The sequence below is a fragment of the Homo sapiens genome, chromosome 15, assembly GCF_000001405.40.
Source record: "Homo sapiens chromosome 15, GRCh38.p14 Primary Assembly".
In the NCBI taxonomy this organism is placed as follows: Eukaryota; Metazoa; Chordata; class Mammalia; order Primates; family Hominidae; genus Homo; species Homo sapiens.
The window spans coordinates 91,878,150-91,898,070 of record NC_000015.10 but is presented as its reverse complement, the minus strand read 5'-3'; the positions used below and the strand labels follow the sequence as shown (position 1 = coordinate 91,898,070).

Genomic DNA, 19,921 nt, shown 5'->3' with positions numbered 1-19,921 from the left:
TCACACTAGCTCCAACTTCACACTTAGAAAACCGTGTCGAGAGAGGCACCTTAACGCAAGCCAAGAACAACAGAAACAAACCATGAGCACCTGCTTTCTGCATCTCATGATATCTTTCTAATTTAAAAACCCCGTGTGTGTAGAGCAGCGATTCCTTCTTGTTCTCAACTTCGCCTGGCTCTGCCCTGCAGTTTCAGCTGCCTTTCGCCTCCCGCACCCATCCTCATGCTCACATGTCATCCATTGCAGGATGCCTGAGCAGGTCAGAAAATAGAGAGAACAGTCTGTTCCAACACTGCCCTTAACACACTGCTGCTGGAGCCCACGCTGCAGGGTAGACTCAGCCTAGCACATGGGAGCACACCAATCCACTCTGCCGCCACTGTCCAGGGAGACTAACTTTATCAAGAGGACAGTCCCAGCATTTCATCAGCTAGGGAAAACACCTGCAGCCACGTTTTGAGATAGTCAAAGGCACCAGCACAAAAGAAACTGTCAGAAATCAGAAGAAGCCTGTTGAGTTTTTTATTTTGATCCAAAGAAATTTAAAAACCAGGATAGGACATTAGTTGGAACATCCAGCTTTATAAGTTTTGGGGGTTTGTTTGTTTGTTTGTTTTTAGACAGAGTCTCGCTCCATTGCCCAGGCTGGAGTGCAGTGGCACAATCTTGGCTCACTGCAACCTCTGCCTCCTGGGTTCAAGCAATTCTCGTGCCTCAGCCTCCTGAGTAGCTGGGATTATAGGTGCCCGCCACCATGCCCAGCTAATTTTTAGTAGAGATCCCCATCTCTACTAAACTGGCCACCATGTTGGCCAGGCTGGTCTTGAACTCCTGATCTGCCCACCTCAGCCTCTCAAAGTACTGGGATTACAGGCGTGCACCACCGCATCCAGCCTGTCTTTATTTTAAAAGCAACAATTGTATAGACAATGGCAAATAGTGTGGTAGGAACTTATCTTACGGTTACTTTGATTTCTCACAACTTTCCAGCTGCTAAAATGGCATTATCATCTCCATTTTCTAGAGGCAACTAAAGATCACAAAAGTGACATATCGTTCCTAAAATCACAGAGCTACAAGGGGCAGAGACAGGTTTCACCCAGGACTGTCTGGCTCCTAAAAGCCCACAATACCTCTCCTCAGCATCAAGGCTGGTATCAATGAGACATATTCTAAGTACCATTTGGATTATTTTCTTACAAGATACAGCATGTCCTGATGATAAACATCTTACATAAGACTCACCTTTATTCACACTAATCAGAGTGTCCCTCCAGAAAAAGCACCTCTGTATTAGTCTGTTCTCACACTGCTAATAAAGACATACCTGAGACTGGGTAATTCGTAAAGAAAAAGAGGTTTAATGGACTCACAGTTCCACATGGCTGGGGAGGCCTCACAATCATGGTGGAAGGTGGCAGAGAAGCAAAGGCATGTCTTACATGGCAGCAGGCAAGACAGTGTGCACAGAAGATTTGCCCTTTATAAAACCATCAGATCTCATGAGACTTATTCACTATCACGAGAACAGCACGGGAAAACCCACCCCCATGAGTCAATTACCTCCCACTGGGTCCCTCCCACAACATCTGGGGATTATGGAGCTACAATTCAAGATGAGATTTGGATGGGGACACAACCAAACCTATCAACCTCCAAGTGTCATTTCTACCTGGAGTCCTACCTCAGAGAAGCAATCGTGACTGCACCATGGATCTGACTTTTATTTTTTTGGCAGATAAAGAAAAGTTTTTTCAGCTTTGTGATGGGGCCATCACTCTGAGTCCTCATCCAGGATGTAACATGCTGGTTTCCAGAGTTAGAGGATAGAGAGGTGCATATGCTTATGCCGGGAGCATTTCTTCCAACACAGGAAAAGGCCCTGCTTTAATTCTACAACCATATTATGAACTGCAGATATTTCATTAAGGACTCTTAAACCATGCCTGTTTTATCTCTGGAGTTAGCTGTAATTGCGAAAATGGAAGAGAAACAAATAGGAGACACAAACATTGAGAACTGAAGGATTTAGGCTTCTTTAGAGGAGCAAAATGACAAACAGGTTGAGTGCTTTTAACTGAATAGCTTCCTACTGGAAAACAAGAAAGGACACTGGTAGTTTTGAGTAAGGCTGGGTCTACACAGTTCATTGTCCTTGACACTGCCTAGTTTTGAAAAATCTGTGTGGGCTCTGAAGAGAAGATTTGCATTTATTAGAAGTGAAGAACATAATAAAAATGGAAAACACCACATAATTTAATAACCTGTAACGATAAATGCCATGGCACTTGGCAACTCAAAAGATTAGATAGAAGAAAGCTAGAGTGCACGCTTGGTGCAATAACCCTAAGTGTTTAGGCTGGAGGAAGTCAAGAAAATAGCTTCAATATCTCATATCATATGAAATGAGACAGATTATTAAGAACTACTAGAAGCACTATGAATCAACAGTATTGGCTGGGAAACCAGATGGCTAGTCACAGTAATTTTCTCCCAGTAATCAAATGTTAGTTTCATTTACAAAAAGCTTCCATATGAAGTCCTGCGTCAATAAAACATTGTATGCAAGCCCTGGATGACCACTATGGTTGAGCTAGCCCCTTGTATACAAGAAATACACTCATTTTAAAACAGCCCTAAATCCTATGGCCTGGTATAGCAACAAATATGCATCACATTAAACTACTTGACACTTCCTTTCCTGGTTCATTGTTTCATGAAGAAATGAACCCACAGCTAGAGGAACCACTTTGGAGTTAAACTTCCTTTCTGCTGAAACTGATCATCATATTATTAATATCTCTAGTGATAAAGTCTCATTTCTCCCAGACACCAAGAAAGTGCACTGTGTTACTAGCACAGGGTTCTTACACACAGGGAGTCACACTGCCTTCACGCCCACAGCTCATTTTGCTTTAAAGGCTTCTTTTTCATGTAAAATACATCCCCTCAAAGCAGTTCTAAAGATTGGACTTGAAGAGATGTACCTACACTGCTACAGGCTGTGAAATAATTGCCCAGGAACTCTGTTCCTAAAGGACAAACAAAAAAGCAGGGACTTCTGTGTCCTCACAAAGCAAATGCCTTGAGTCTCTGGAGACTCACAGCCACAAGTCCAGGATGCAGGTATGGATTAGGAACAACAGACTCAACCTTGATTCTTGAGAGTTCTTGCAGGCGAGCTACAACCTGCTTCTACGCACTCCCTGTCCCTCCGGGGGTTTCACTGTTCTGTGCCTCTGTGTGGCAGAAGCATGTGCAGGGTGAGGGTGAGTAAGCCCTTGCTCAGTCAAGTGGGGCTCCAGCAGGAGTAGCTGACATCACCAGAGAGCCTTTTAGAAATTCAAAAATCTCAGACCCTGCCCCAGACCCACAGAGTCAAATTCTACATTTTACCAAGATCCCCAGTGGTACATATGAACATTCAAGTCAAAAATGCTGCCTCGGGCTACACGGGTCTTCAGCCCCACTGTCCACTCCATGGCAACACAGTGCTGGGGACCCTCCTCCATTGCCTCTGCTGCCTTCAGACATCTAATCCACCCATCACTTGGCCCTACCTTGGCAGATTCCAATCTGTCCACTCCTCTGTCTCCACTGCTACCACCTATGACCTGGCGACCATCAACCCCTCACCTGAGATACCACCACACCTGCCATGCCTCTCCCCATTGTCCATGCACACTACATGGCAATTAGATATTTTGAGTACCAAAGTCACATCATGGCAAGTTACTCAGTATTTTCCAATGGCTCCCCATGGGCCTGGAATAAAATCCTAACTCCGGACCCTCCTGGCCTGCAAGATGCTATAAAACCCCCCACCCCTGCCCTCCTCTCCAACCTCATTTCCTACCACCATCCCATATGTTTACCATTCAAACCACACCAGTTGCCTTGCTGTTCTGCAAACAGATCAAACCCATCCTCAACTTGAGACAATGTGCTACTGCATCTGCCTGGAACACTCTTATCCCAGATCATGACAAGGCTGATTTCTCCCCAGGCAGGTCTTAGCTCAAACGTCCCCTCCTGAGAAAGGCTTCCTTTGATCAGCACCACCTTCGCTTCCAATCCAGTCGCTATGGCAACACACTTTTGGTCCTCCTGGCATTCAAGTACCTTGTCCAGAAGTGTCCTGTTCACTGTGTGCTTTTCAATCATCTGTTCCCTACCTGCGTACAAGTTCTTTGAAAGCCAAGACTTTATCTTTGCTGATTGCTAGTTCCTAGAAGAGTAACTGATGTATAACAGGAACTTAACAAACATTTGTCGAATAGATGGATAGATGGATAAATAGAAGAAAAAGTACCGGCCTAAAAGTTCTAACTCTGTTCTCAATTCTGGCTGCATGTTAACCACCCACGGATGTTTGAGAAATGCTGATAAAAGACTGTACGGTCTGAATGTTTGTGTCCTTTTAAAAATGTTCATATATTGAAACCTAACCACCAATGTGATAGTATTAGGAGGTGAAGCCTTTGGGAGGTGATTAAGTCATGAGGGTGAGGCCCTCATGAATGGGATTAGTGCCCTTATAACAGAGGCCCCAAAGAGTTGCCACACCCTTTGGCCTGGTGAGGACACAATGAGAAGGTGCCATCTATCAACCAGAAAGCAGGCCCTTACCAGATACCAGATCAGCCAGTACTTTGATCTTGGACTTTCCAGCCTTCATAACTATGAGAAATAAATGTTTGTTGTTTCTAAGCCACCCAGTTTATGGTATCGTGTTATAGCAGTCCAAACCAACTATGACACAGACCAAGTGAATCTCAACCTCTGAGCCCACTGGAACAGGGCTGTCCAACAGGACAGCCACTGGCCACATGTGGCTAAGTTTAAATTAATTAAAATGAAATAAAATGTAAAATGCAGCTCTTTAATCATACTACCCACATGTCAAGTATTCATCAGCTACATGTGGCTAGTTAGTGCCTACCTTGCAGAAGAGCAGAGATAAGGCATCTTCCCATAATGCAGAAAGCTCTATTTGAGTTCTAGAAATTATTCTAAGGCTTATTTGTTATGTGGCTCATTTATGCATTGAAGAATCCTTATTCAGCACCTATTACTAGCCAAGTATCATACTAAGTGCTAAAAATAACAGTAACAAAACATTGTCATAGCACCTGCTATGCACCAGATTATTGTTCTAACAGCTTAACAGATATTAATTCATTTTATTGTGACATTAGCTATGTTAAAGGAATACTATTATTATCCCCATTTTACGTACAAGGAAATTTCAGCACAGAGAGATTTCAGAAACTTACTGGGGAGTAGTCACGCAGCTGGTGAGATATGGAATCAGAACTGGAATCTAGGCCCCGTGTTAAAGGACATTTATAAAGAGAGCTGAGTAAGACGGAAGATCCTCCACATTTCTTAGCTGTGATAACCGAGTCTCAGGCTGACCAAGGAGCTTGCTTGGCACAGTCAGTGTGTGGCACAGCTGAGATAAGAGCTCCACTCCATGCCAGGATGCCTTTATGGACAATAAGCTGTTCTTACCTCCTACTCATGTCACAAATGCAGGTCAGGAAAATACTATCCAGGCTGGGAAATTCCTCTGGAGCCAGAGGATAAGTCCTACCTCCATTCCAGTTACCTTGTTCACAGGTAAATCTGCCCATTCTGGGAAAATTCCAGGGTACATGGCCTGGGCAGGGACTCTTCACGTACCTCTTTCTTCTATGAATCTGCAGCCAGCTCTGTTTGTTAGCGCTTTTCTCCAAATAGTAATGAAAAACACTGCTCCAATGCATCCCATGAATGAGGAAGGTAGGACGATACGAGTGGGGACAGAGTGGGCCTCAGGGTTAGATCTACCAGGTTCAATTCAAGAACCATCATCTTCTTAAGTAGTAAAGACAGACCTTTCCTGAGCCTGTTTCCTCATTTGCAAAGTGGTAATATCAGCACTTTGTAGGCTGTTGGGGAGATTACACATCATATTCTACAAGTGTCAAAAGGGCAAAGCTGGGGGGAGGGGGCAGCCTGTCCTTTCAATGTCATACTGGAACATTGTTTAACAGACCAACCCAGGATTACTTATTTATCTAGGACAGGGGTCCACATACTATGGCCCAAGGCCAAATCCCATTCACCACCTGTCTGTGTTAAGTAGAGTGTCTCTGGAACACAGCCATGCCCATTTGTGTAGCCATCACGGCTATAGCAGAGTTGAGTTGTGAGAGAGCAACAGAGACAGTATGGCCTGCAAAGCCTGAAATATTTACTATACAGCTCTTTACGTGGTAAGTTTCCCAAACCCTGATGCAGAGGAATATACCTGGGTTTGATTTTCCTATTTACTATATATTAAGGGCACGAACACTGTGAAGCTGCGTGTTAACTTACAGATTGCTGTACAGTAGAAAAGATAAACCCCAAAGTCAAAGAAACATTACCCTGTAAGACATTCACTAATTTTGTATATGTAGAGATTGAATTTCCCATGAAGCTGACCCTGGAATTAACACTAGTGAGCCTCAAGTTTATGCAAGGGTACTCTAGGGGCTAACCTAGAACCCCTACGTAAGAGGGAGGAAAAGAAGCAGGTCTGGGTAGAGTGAGAATTGGGGATGGGATGCAGTTGCAACAGAAGGCTTAGCTGACCCTATGGGAGGTTCTGAATACAGGATAAGTGACCTTCAAGAGATTCAAGCAGTGGTAAGAGAATTGGTCTTTTTATCTGCTCATGGATCAGACATTGGGTGCAGGCTGCCCTGGAAGAAAGCCTGACTTCAGACAAGGTGGCTGTCTTCAGCCAAGGTAGTCCTAAATGGAGCTGACAGCTGGGCTCTTTCTGCTGGCAATATTCCTGAAGCTACGGTACCTGTGGCTGATTTGAATGGTCCATCACAATTTCCCCCACACTTACCTAAAAATGGTTCTGTTCTATCACTCTTTTTTTTTTTTTTTCCAAAATGCCAATAAATACCAAGTTCCTCAAAAGCTTCTTTGAGCTGGCTTTACCAACTCACTGGTTCCCTCATTAATGAGTTAAATAAAATAGTATTTGACTCGGTTTCTCTCTGTAATTGCATGAAGGGCCAAGTTTTAACTTTCTCACCATTATTTTCTGACAGAATGCACACATTACGTGGCAATTATTGTGATATTATCATAAGGGAGAAAGCCTTTACTTAAAAATGAATGGGCAGTCCCCACCCAGCAATGTCTACCTTTCTTCTGAGCCTCGCAGTCTGGCCAGGGCAGTAGTGAGGCATCAGTGAGTCACACCAGCAGAGAGCTCCTTCTCCTCCAGGGTCAACCTGGATTGGCTGGCTGGAAGGTGAGGGAGGCTGCCCAGACCAGAAAACTCTGGGGAAAATAACCAGAGGCTAAATCAACCTGCCTTTAAGAGTTGGTATTTATCAGAGCCTTAAAAGACAAAGAGCCTTTATTTGGCTTGTGCTAAGGGATGGGGATCAGAAAGCATTTTCTCAGAATTCCAGTTAAGTCTCTTCATGGGAGGAAGTAAAATGATAGATACAACATCTCGAACATCCTTGCTTTGAAATGCACAGTAAGAATCAGAATTGTCAATGCCAGGCATAGGGGATAGAGCTCTGGGTGAGGCCACTGGGAGGGCTCTGGCAGTCATGAGTAGGTATCAAGGTCTCTGTAAGAGAGAGGTTCAGGAAAGGCTCAGGAAGACCCAGGATATAATATATGTTTCCTGCAAGCTGAGCACATAGTCATGATTAGGGACCAGGCAACTTACTTAAAAATACAACCACCACCACAGCAAGAAGATGAAAATGGATGAGTATGGTGATGGAGAGATGAACAATTATACAGCAAATATAGCAAAATGTTAATTGCAGAATCATGACAGTGGGTATACGTGTATTAACTATATAATTCAAGTTTTATGCTTAATTTTTTCAATAATAAAATATTGAGGGGAAATAACTACTGAGAGTGCCCACAAGGCAAAACACAAACTCAGTCCTACTATATTCCACATGTTAAATGTGTACATATTTACACAATATACATGCTGATATGCCTCTATATTTATAGTCATAAATGAGTAAAATACACAACTATATGCAGAATATTGGACATGTAAACAAATTTTGTTTCTAGCAAGAAATTAATGCTGCAAGCTTCCCAGACTGCATAACTCAGTCTAGGATACGCGGACTAGACTAGGAAAGACTATCTTTCCCTTAAAGTAGGTTAGTCTTAAATGTAACAGAAAATCGCTCAGGGCGAATGGTATTTATGAACTAGACATCACAGAATGACAACAGTTATGAATGATGCAAAATGAAATCATTCAAACAACCTATGGAAAAAGAGCAAAATTCAGCTATCATACTTTCACCTTAATGGCCTGGTTGATTTGCCTGGGCAAACTGCCTAAAGGAACATGTAGAGAACAAGGCCTGTCTCTTTTCTTATAAGAGAGCAAGACCAGATCCACCCTACAGTTATGCAGACAATACAAGCATATTCTAGGTGCAATAATTATGCTATATATGACACTAAGCGAACAGCAATTGCATTTGCAATGAGCCTACCTTACAGAGCTTCCAGATCAGTCAATTCATAGAACAAGCAAGCACAGTGTTTTATAAGGCACAGAGCCTCAGACTAATGTACACATCTTACTGCCCACTACCAAAGGTCAAGATACCCCTGGGATGTAAGAAGAGGCAGTGTGAGCTCTGGACCAGAGACCCAGGGAAATTGAAGGGCTAGGATAAGTGCTGAGTGATGAGTAACAGCCTTAGGGGAGATAGCAGAGGCCTACAGGTGCTATGAAGCCCATAAAGTGTTGCAAATGCACTCCAGGTCCAGCAGGACCACCCACAGTCCTTTCCTGGCAACAATTTTAGAACTTACATTCATCTAAGGAGCATGCATCTCCAGTGTTATGACATCAGTCAAGGAACAATAAGAGTTTATGCAGAAAACCATCCACGTCCACTTAGCTGGAATATATTTATTCTGTAATAACAAGTACACAAATGTTAGCTATATGTTAGCTAGTAATAATTGTAGGTTTTTTTTTTTTGGTTTTTCTTTTCTTTTTTTTTTTTAGAGACAGTCTCACTCTTGTTACCCAGGCTGGACTGCAATAGCATGATCACAGCTCCCCGAAACCTTATGCTCCTGGGCTCAAGCGATCCGCCCACCCCAGCCTCCTGAGCAGCTAGAGCTACAGGTGTGTGCCACATTGCCCAGCTAATTGGTGTTGTTTTTTTTGTTTTGTTTTGTTTTGTTTTTTTGTAGAGATGGGGTCTCACTATGTTGCCCAAGCTGGTATCTAACTACTGGCCTCAAATGATCTTTCCATCTCTGTCTTCCAAAGCACTAAGATTACAGGTATGAGCCACTGTACCCAGCCAGCTACTGCTAACATTAATACAAGTAATTTTAATTAAACATTTATTACATAGCAGGTAGTATGTTAAGCACTTTTACAGGTTAATCCTGCTAATCTCCTACAAGATAAGTGCTATCACTAAGCCACTTTGTAGGAAAAAAAATTGAGATTTCATATGCCTAGGACTATTCTGAACCTGGTATAAGGGACTGGAATCCAAGGAGTTTAATTCTAGAGTCACACTAAACACTTTAGCTAACTGCTTGTTAAAATCAAATAGTTATGCATATGTCATTTGTATAACTGGATTGCATGACTGAAATTAAGTGAATGAAGAGCAAAGGGCAACAGCAAGTATATCTGTAAGGGCCCAAGACACACATGCTCAGGATGTAATAAGAGAGCCGGCAGCCCATACTGATTCGACGGGCCAGTCTCTGAACCCACACCCCATTCAGATGACACTGCCAACCCCATCTCTGAGACAGAGGGAGTTGGAAGTTCTGCAAAGAAAGTATTGACTTCCAGCTCCTGACTCCCAGCCAGCCCTTCACTTTGCAACAGTGAGAGGGCGGGGAGTATTCCAAAATCGGTTAATAATGCAACCAACCAAACCACAAACAAGAGCATAATTAAAGCTCTTTTACTTTGGTTTAAAATAATCTCAAATCTGCCAAACACAGATGACTACACAGAACAAAGCAGCACATCATGGGGTTTATTTGGCTTCTCCTTCTGTTTGGGACTCTGCCTGAGAAAACTAATTATGTACTCAGCACATACAGTGTGTAAGATCTGAACAAGGTGCTTTTCACAAACACTATCTTATTAAATCCTGGCACAAACTGTAGTGTAGGTATTACTAAGTTCAATTTGGAGAAACAGAAGGAGAGGTTCAGAGAGGTTAAGTAATTTGTCCAAGGGCACACAGCTAGCCTAGCAGAATGATATTTTAAACCTAGGTAGTTGCATCCAGCCTGGTTTTATTAAACCATGTGGCTACCTCGAATATCTTTCATCAAAAAGACACATAAAAGACAGGGAGAGAACAGCAGGCCTCAGAAGTTCCCAGGATTGAAATCTGTTTATTACTACGAAGTGGCCAATCACCTCTGCGGGGCAGGCCAGCAACCCTGGCACCAGCTGGGTTCTAAAAGGCCAAAGCTGCCAGGCCATGCCAAGATGCCACAATGAAAATGAGCATTGTTTGGGTCAGCTGCTGCAGGGCTCCTGTGCACACAGGCAGTACCATGTCACTGAATGGAGGGGGTGCCTCAAGGGTGCAGGGTTAGCGGCCGCAATGTCTCATGCAGGCAGGCAGGCAAGCAAAGAGGGGCCTGAAATTAGTGCTTTAGGGTCATTGTTGCAGGAATTGGGCAGGCAGGGGTCTCGACATCAAAACTCAGGCAGGAAATAGCTCAAGCCATTCTGCCCTCTGGGGAAAATGGCCGAGGAAGGGGGAAGGGGTAAAAGGGATGACAATATTCTAAAGAGAAAAGGAAAGCATTGAAGAATAAAGCAAAATGCCATCAACCTGTGGCCCACTCTGGATTAACTCTGAATTCTAAGGCACTTCTAAACCTGTCTATGACCCAGCACTGAATTAGACACTTGACAGTGATAATGACACCTGGCATTCACACGTCAGTCCCCTGTGCCCTCCCACAAAACACCATAAAAGCCACTAAGGATTTCCCACTGGAAATGGGCTTGGCCAATATACAGACACAGGCAGAAACAAAGAGGGGAGAATAAACTCCTGCTCCCTCTCCCACGCAACTGCAACTTCAGCTGTAAGCAGAATTTTTAACCTCCTGAGCCTGGGGTTCTGAATGATAATATACAAATTGCAAGACTAGAAACAGAATATATAAGGCACTTGTCAGCACCTGCCATCTTGCAGAGCTCATTAAATACCCATGATTACTCACATTCACAACTTTTAAAGAGAATCAACAGAGGGCCATCACATCGTACCCCTGAATTATTGTCTGGAGTTGAGCTCGATTATTCAGATTGATGTAGTCAGTGTGAAGTCTTGAAAGCAAAGCCTGAGAGATAAGGACATTGGATGCATCTGTGCTGTGTGCCAGTAGGTGACTTAGGAATCAGTAAGCACATCAAATATGGTCACACCGTAGAAACAACACTGACGCTGAGGCTGAATCTTCCATCTCTCTTTGGAAGGGCAAAGCGTAAAGAGGAAAATCACCAGGTCCAAGTCAATGCTCACTGGGGCCTTCTAGGCATGGAGCACTGCTGAGGACTTCACACAACTCACGCTGATGTGGACACAAACAGGAGCCACCCAGACCCAAGGTAGGTGCAGCGGGCCAGGGGCTCATAGGAGGCAGCTCTTGCCTAAAAGGAGGACTTGAAGGAAATCTCAATTAAAAGAGAAGCATGAGAGACAAGCGCTGTTGTCAATTTCTAATTAGTAAGAGTTAGCTGGTGAGAAAAAGATACAATCCTCTAAGCTTCCAATGTGGATTTTTGTGCTCTGCTACTACTTTCCATTGCACAACTAAGGGAGACCAAGGGGAAGCGCAGGACACACTCAAGAAAGGGAACAATCAAAGGCAAAAATGCAGAGGTAAGCAGGAGTACTAGGGAAATGGACTAGTCAGATTTGCCAGCCCCAATATTTAAAAGGGACCAACTCTGCCTCCCTGTGGCTCACAGGGGCCTGCCGGGTCTGGTCTTCCACCCACCTCTCTGCTTTCATCTTCCCCTGCCTCCCTCTCACCCTCTCTGCTAGAGACACACTGGTCTTTCCACTCCCCGACCACATCAAGCATATTTCAACCCCAGGGCCTTTGCACTTCCTAGTCCCTCTGCCTGAAACATTCTTGCTCCAAATAGTTATATAATTTGATCTCACACTTCTTTCAAATCTACTCAAATATCACCCGCCCAGAGAGGCCTTTAGAGAAAGGTCCAGCCGATTTGTTAGCAGCCATAAAAATAGGGGAGGGGAAGGCGAAGGGATCTGAATTGTCAGACCGCATGTATGTGTCTGCTCACAGCAGGGATCTACCTAAAACTGTCTACTGTGAATGAAATCAAGGACAGAGAATGATGCACTTGTTCAAGGGCCATCAGTTTAAGGGTTGATATTGTATAAATGCTACAAACCAACCAAGGGCCAATTCTAAGCATCCCTAAAAGACTGTGAGGATCTTGGGCCCCGCTGCCCAGCAGCAAAGGGCTCCCTTTTCCTGTAATGTATGATTTGTGACATGCTGGAGTTTGGCTGCTGGAACAAAGAGGCATCTGCCCGGCTTCTTCCTGAAACACAGGAGCTAGGGCAGCTTTGGGAAGGGCATTCTGGCTTCAGATGTCCTCTGTCTCTTGATACAGGAGCTTAGGAAGCTCCTGACCTCTGAGCTCACTCAAGGAGAAGCCACTGCATCCTGCCTTTAAGGAGTGAGCCCTCAGGAGGTAGCCCTGGAGAAGGAAGATGGTGAGAAAAGGCCCAGCCAGGGGTGGGGCTTCGTTACTGGGCGTGGAGAGTGACGCCAAAGGGAGCAAAGAGGGAGACAAGCCCCCTGCTCCTTCTGCACCCTCCTTCCAGGTGACGCAGAGCAGGCGGGCAGGCTCAGCACCACCCCCATCACCTCCTTTCTGTGTCCCTATATGGGACGGAAAGGCTTTTTACTTCTAAAGGAACAAGAATTGGAGAACCCACACAACTCCTTTCCCCAGAAAGCTTTCCTGATTCACTGAGGAAGGGAATCAGACCCCATGCTCCTAGAATACAGGTGAGCTCGCCAGCAGGGGTCCAGCTGTTTTTAGGATAGACACTGACTAGTTTCCGTGATGCTCAGCTGCCTCAGGTCTAAAAGAATCAGCTTAAAAAAAAAGATGAAATGAGATAATATATGAAAATATGCAGCATGGGGCCTGGCATAGAGTAAGCATACAAAAAAATGCGTAATCCAAACAAATAATTCCAATGATGTAAAAAAAAAGAAATGTCACCATTAGAACTGAAATATAATTATCAAAGCTTTCCAGAAAATGCAGATTGTGAAAAATCACTTAAGCCTCATTTAATACTAGAAAATAGACATTTCATAATAATTTGATTGTAGTGATTCACATAATCTGTGCTGAATAAATCAATAAGTTTTATTTTAAAACAATTTAATATTAGAAAAAGGCTCTGAAGTCAGAATGCTCCCCTCCACCTTTTTTTTTTTTTTTTTTTGAGACAGAATCTCACTCTGTTGCCCAGGGTGGAGCGCAGTGACGCGATCTCGGCTCACTGCAACCTTCCACCTCCCAGGTTCAAGCGATTCTCCTGCTTCAGCCTCCCAAGTAGCTGGGAACACAGGCCTGCCCACCACATCTGGCTAATTTTTGTATTTTTTTAAGTAGAGACGGTGTTTCCCCATGTTGGCCAGTCTGGTCTTGAACTCCCAATCTCAGGTGATCCACCCACCTCAGCCTCCCAAAATGCTGGATTACAGGCGTAAGCCATTGCACCCAGCAGAATGCCCATTTTTGATGTCCAGTGTTGCCACTTTCAAGCTATGTGACAGGGAGAAAATTTCTCTAACTCTCAGGACCTCGGAATCCTCATTACAAAATGAAGATAATACGTGTACCTATCTCACAAGGTTTTGCAAAGATCCAAAAGGTTAATCCATAGGAAAACCTTATAACAGTGTTAGATACGATCACGATTCTTATTATCATTATTTTGATCATTAATGTGACTGTATGTATGATGCTATGGTGATAAAGCTTTCCAGTCAGGCCAGACCTTGGTCTGAAACTGGATCCCTTCAGTTGCCTGCTTTGTGAGATGTTTCTGCAAGCATCTCAGTGTGAGGATGAAAAGGACAGCAGAAGAAATGCATGTAACACGGTGCCTGGCACGGGGTGTGGACCCACAGAAGTGAGTGTAGCAACTGTGATGTACTATCAGGATGCTACACTACTATCGGTAAGTAGGATATTACAAACACACTTCTACTTCAAAAAATACTTGGAACCGAAATTTCTATGCACAACCCAGCAAAACACATGAACTAATTATGAGCGTATGAACAATGTATCAATGCATTGCCTTAGTAACTATTAAGGCTTATAAATCACAACTTGGAATTTATAACCCACAGCCACTTTCAGGGTATATAATGGCATAAAATAATTACAAATACCTGAGAGGTAGAACTCCCTATGGAAGACTACTGCATGCAAGAAAATGCAAAGGATGAAGGGCCCCAGCCAGTCAGTGCGAGGTACATCCCTCCGGGGAGCCCCAGCCTCAGAGCAAGAGAACCAGTCAGCGATTGGACGTTCTGATCCCAAACTGGCACTGCTTCTACCAAGAAGCCTCAGGTCTCTGGCATCCCCTGTGGTACCTCAGCTGATGGAGTGAAAAAGCAAACCAGAAAGAGGGGATTCTAGGGTCCCGGTGCCAAGTTTCTCTCTTCACTCTCCAAACAAGCTGACTTCACACAGGAAGACTCCTGGGCACCTGATGTAAGTGAAACCCAGACCACTTACTGCCCGCTGTTAAAAAAGGGGAAGGAGGGATACTTTGTTATCCACCAGCCTCAAAGCATCTGAGTAACATGGAGATTAAGAGGAGCTGACAGAGAGGACTGGAATCTGAATGGCTGGAGCACATGGCTCCTTCCCAAGTCCTCACCATTCTCCTCTCTGTTTACAGTGGATGGCGCCTGCCTGGCTTGCATGGTGGCTGCTGTCCCATCTGTCATTCCCTTACTCACTGGGCATTAATAGAGCAGCCCAACCAACTTCTTAAAGAACAAGGTGATATTACATCTCTTTGGGACACCAAGGTGATACCTAATTGCAAGGAAATCTTGATGAGGTTATACTTATCGCACATATTCAGTGAAATCCGAGTGGGATTAAGAAGTCATGGCTGGGCGCGGTAGCTCACACCTGTAATCTCAGCACTTTGGAAGGCCGAGATGGGCAGATGACCTGAGGTCAGGAGTTCGAGACCAGCCTGGCCAACATGGTGAAACCCTGTCTCTACTAAAAATACAAAAAAGTTAGCTGGACGTGGTGGTGGTGCATACGCCTGTGGTCCCAGCTACTCGGGAGGCTGAAGCAAGAGAATCGCTTGAACCCGGGAGGCGGAGGTTGCAGTGAGCTGAGATCATGCCACTGCACTCGGGCCTGGGCGACAGAGTGAAACTCCATCTCAAGGAAAAAAAAGAAGTCATACATAGTGGGGGTGGGGTGGGGGTGGAGGCCCCCAAATCTATACCGTATTAGCAAATTTCATGTCCCTCTGTTTGATCATTCATTGATTCATTTAGTAAATATTTACCAAAGGCTACCAAGTGTCCAACCTTAAACTGGGAGCTATGAACACAAAGAGAAGCAAATGCATGGGTTCAATATATACCATTTAAGGAGTGTGAATGGTTTGTCCACAATTCCACTCAGCAAATGCACATCCTGACTGCGTGCTTGAGAAGGGAGACATAAACTTCCCATCCTCACACTGAGTTTCAGTCCTCACATGCCCCCTCCTGTGCATAGATCTCACTATTACCATGCTAAGCGTGATCCTAGTGTTCAGAGGTAAGCACTGTTTATACTGCCTGATCCTGGAATGCACTGCTTCCCTTCTAGGCAACTAAGGGGATGTCCTTGAGTAATATTCCACCTCCATATAACATTGGTCTCAGTGGCTGCTTTAGAACCAAACTCTCCAATGAAAAGCATTTGTACTTGAAGGCACTGATCTTAAGGGTTTTGCATGATAATAGGGTCAATTGTAAAAGAGACCCGAAGAGAGGGGACCCAGACCTGGCCAGGGATGGAGCAGGGTTACCTCACTCAAGCATGACATTCCAGTGGTAAAAGATGACCAGGAGTTTGCCAGGCAAAGAAGTCATGCTGCTTGCGCTAAGAAAACCATCTCCTAAAGTCTGGGCCAGGGGAGTATGTGTTCGTGTTTCCCTTCCTGGTAGACTCGGCATGTTGCTTATTTACCACAGGGGACTTGCATTCTCCACTGAGCTCCGACAGAAAGACCATGTGCTGACTGGCTCGCTGACTGACAGCTGTTGGTATTAAAAGCTTCTGATCCAACGGTTTCTCTGAGTGGCTTTTAACTTCATCTCAAGGCTAAAAACCCTTTCTTTCTTTCTTTAGGTCAACAGCTTAAATATTAAATAGCAGAAGACAAGGGAAGGGGGCGGGTTAGTCTGCTGGTTCCATAAACTGCACGATAAAGAAAAAAACATTTTTCTTTATCGTGCATTTTATGCAAGGAAAGAGCAATGTCAAATCACTGGGTCTTTCAGCTCAGGCCACTTCCTGATCAACCTCAAACCAGGAATACAGACCTGTGGCTGGTATTCAGAGAACAGTTTTGGTGTTTAAATTCTGTCACATGACCAGTTAGAAAATCCCCGAGCATTTAAAAAAAAAAAAGGTGGGGGAACACTTTTCGAAATGAAAATCAATCAGTAAGACCAAGGAAAAAATTCCCTCTGCTTCCTGTCCTAGAATAAGGGTTCAGGTTTTGATCTTCCCCAAAAGGGTTGGAGGGACCAAGCTGGCCAAGCTGCTTGTATTACATCTCCTTTGATCACAGGCTCTGCAGAAAAGGTACCTTCTCCCATCAATTCTTGTAAGAGAAATGCAGATACATGAATGCAGGTCTCAGGGCACACAGAGCCTCCACCCAAGCCCCATCCTGAGCCCCATTTTGAAAGGAGACATATCGCCTGGCTAGCCAGCTCTCTGGGCTCATTCTGCTCTCTCCACCAAATTCCATCACTCTAAATAAATTGGGCCTTACTGCTTCTGGAAGGATCCCTGCTGAAAACCAAGAAGAGAACCATAGACAGAGACTGGGGCACTTTACACTGCTTCCTGATTCTGTGCTTTTAGGACCCCAAAAGCCCTCTCCCAGATACTTCTGTTTAAATAGATAAGCACAACCCAAATGCCATCAAGAGGTGAACGGTTAACTAACAGGAGTACCTCCACACTAGGCAATATCACTCTGCAATAAAAAGAAATGAATTATTGATATATGCAACAACTTGGATGGATCTCAAGGGATTTGTGCTTAGTGGAAAAAAAAAAACAATCTCAAAAGGTTGCATGCTGTATGATGCCATTTAAGTAACATTCGTAAAATGACAACATTAGAGAGATGGAGAACAGAATAGTGCTGCCCTGGGGTTAGGGAGCAGGAGAGACTGTGGCAATAAATGTACAGCAGATTCTATATCCTGATTGTGGTGGTGGTCACATTAATCCACACAAGTGATGAAACTGCAAAGAACTACACACACACACACACAGAGAGAGAGAGAGAGAGAGAGAGAGAGAAGCACGAGTGCCGGTAAAACTGAGGAAATCTGTTGGTGGACCCTATCACTGTCAATTTCCTAATTGTGGTGTTATACTACAGTTTTGCAATATGTTACTATTGGGGGAGACTGGGTAGAGTGTGTACAGGATCACTCTGGATTATTTCTTACAATTGCATGTGAATCTACCATCATCTCAGGATGATAGATAGATAGATAGATAGATAGATGGATGGATGGATGGATGGATGGATGGATGGATGGATGGACGGACGGACGGACGGACGGACGGACGGACGGACACACATACAAGCAGGTTGAGGAGCATATCTATCTATCTGGAGCACTTTTTCTTTCCAAGGAGACTAAATGAAAGAGGAACACAGCCAGCTTCATTCAGACATTCTGCACAGAGCCCTGAATATCTTATTAAAGAGATCCAAGGGCCCTTCCTGGGACTCACTGTGCCATCTCTGCTGCGACACACAACTGTCCTTACATAAAATCTCTGTCTGGAGCTTCGGAGACCATGGGATCCTCTTCAGGAATCTCGTTAAGAGCTTGGTTGCATGTCAGAATTGAACCACTACTGCCTGGAACACAAATTTCATTCAGAAAGCCAAAAACCTGTCCCATGACAGTATCTCTATAGAAGAAAACTGGACCATTAGCTGATATAAATTACATCTATATAGGGACATCTATATATTTGTATTAACCAGAAGGCCACCTTCAGAAAATGATGTTCTGAGCGGCTAGAACAATTATAAGAATGCCCTGACCTTCCATTTTCTCTTCTTCGTATTTTTCTTAGTTTTCAGCCATATTTTTGTTGCAACCTAAAAACCATACAAATGCTGATTTGTTACATGTATAGGCATCATAGTAGCTACGGTTGTATACCCACACCATTCTCTTAAGCATACTCATCATTTCTCCCAAGTGTCATATAAATTTCAACCCATTAAATAAAATGATTTTATACTGTCCTTGTAGATGTTACTAACCCTCACCCCCACCAATGACATCACTGTTTCCATAGTAACTAATGTGCTTCAAAGTAGAAAATGCAGATGGTGGCTTTAAAAAAAAAAAAGGCAGAAAAAATAAGTGACAGATACCAAGCATATCACAGTGTAAGTGGTGTGCAAAACGTACCTGCTTTATAGGCACCCACTCAGGGTCAAGCAATAAATATTTTAGTAGAACCCTTATGCCAACAGATATTCTATATAACCATGGCCTATCCGATTACTCTATTGCCTTTGGAAAAGTGGCTGCCGAATTCAGCGTGCTTACCCTTCAGAATTTGCATGTGGGTAGAAGTGTGTGTTCAGAAGCAAGTGTGCAGATCACAGGCTGATTTTCAAAATAGAGTCACGTACTTCATAGATATGTTGTAATTATGCCTAGATAAGAAGAGCTATTTCAGAAATACTTCAATGCCAGGAAGAATGACTGCAACTATTCACAAGAGAGAAATGGATAAAACTGGTAAGGAGGAAAAAAAGCCCAAATTCTTATTTCCTAAGTGTAAGAAAAAAATTATAAAATCTCCAAGAAATGCAACATTTCTCTCTTTAAGCATAAGGTCCTTTTGATGAAGCATGGGTACTTTTTCAGTTACTATAAGTATTTCATTGTTTAGATGTCTGTGAATGAAAATTTTTCTGGGCATGAAAATCTACGCTTTGAGTTGTGAGAAAGACGGCTAAGAGATGACAGTTCTGGATGGTTTGACATAAAATGAGAATCTGATTTTAAAACATAACAGAGTGTGGTAGGAATGCTGATCTGTCCCTGTCACGATGCCATTCTTAACACTGTCTGCATACCGAGCGGAAGCTTCAAGTGTCCCATCATCTAGTCTCTGAGCTGTAGGGGCCAATATTTAGAAGACCATGAGATGACACCATGCCCTGCAAACAGTCCATGAGCTAATTTCTTCTGATGGCATTTGGCTACTACCAAGGACAGTGAACACATCTGCAATCCTGGAGCCCACTGAAAAGGCCTAAATCGCCCTGGCGCAGTGGCTCACGCCTGTAATCCCAGCACTTTGGGAAGCCGAGGTGGGCGGGTCACCTGAGGTCACCTGAGACCAGCCTGGCCAACAGGGTGAACTTCGTCCCTACTAAAATACAAAAATTATCCAGGTGTGGTGGCACGTGCCTGTAATCCCAGCTATCCGGGAGGCTGAGGCAGGAGAAGCACCTGAACCCGGGAGGCAGAGGTTGCAGTGAGTTGAGCA

The 19,921-nt window shown here is 44.0% G+C and overlaps 1 protein-coding gene across 3 annotated transcripts in view, besides 1 other annotated feature; it reads right to left on the bottom strand.

The window, feature by feature from the left end:
- Window positions 1–19,921, bottom strand: part of SLCO3A1 (solute carrier organic anion transporter family member 3A1) — a 318,728-nt gene that overhangs the window by 274,365 nt on the left and 24,442 nt on the right. The window lies entirely within an intron of this gene.
- Window positions 15,819–16,394: an enhancer, noted in NCBI's record as "OCT4-NANOG hESC enhancer chr15:92424907-92425482 (GRCh37/hg19 assembly coordinates)". NCBI's record gives its function as "activates a minimal SCP1, AML or CMV promoter by ChIP-STARR-seq in primed H9 embryonic stem cells {active_cell/tissue: H9 hESC(primed)}" and the evidence as "EXISTENCE:reporter gene assay evidence [ECO:0000049][PMID:30033119]".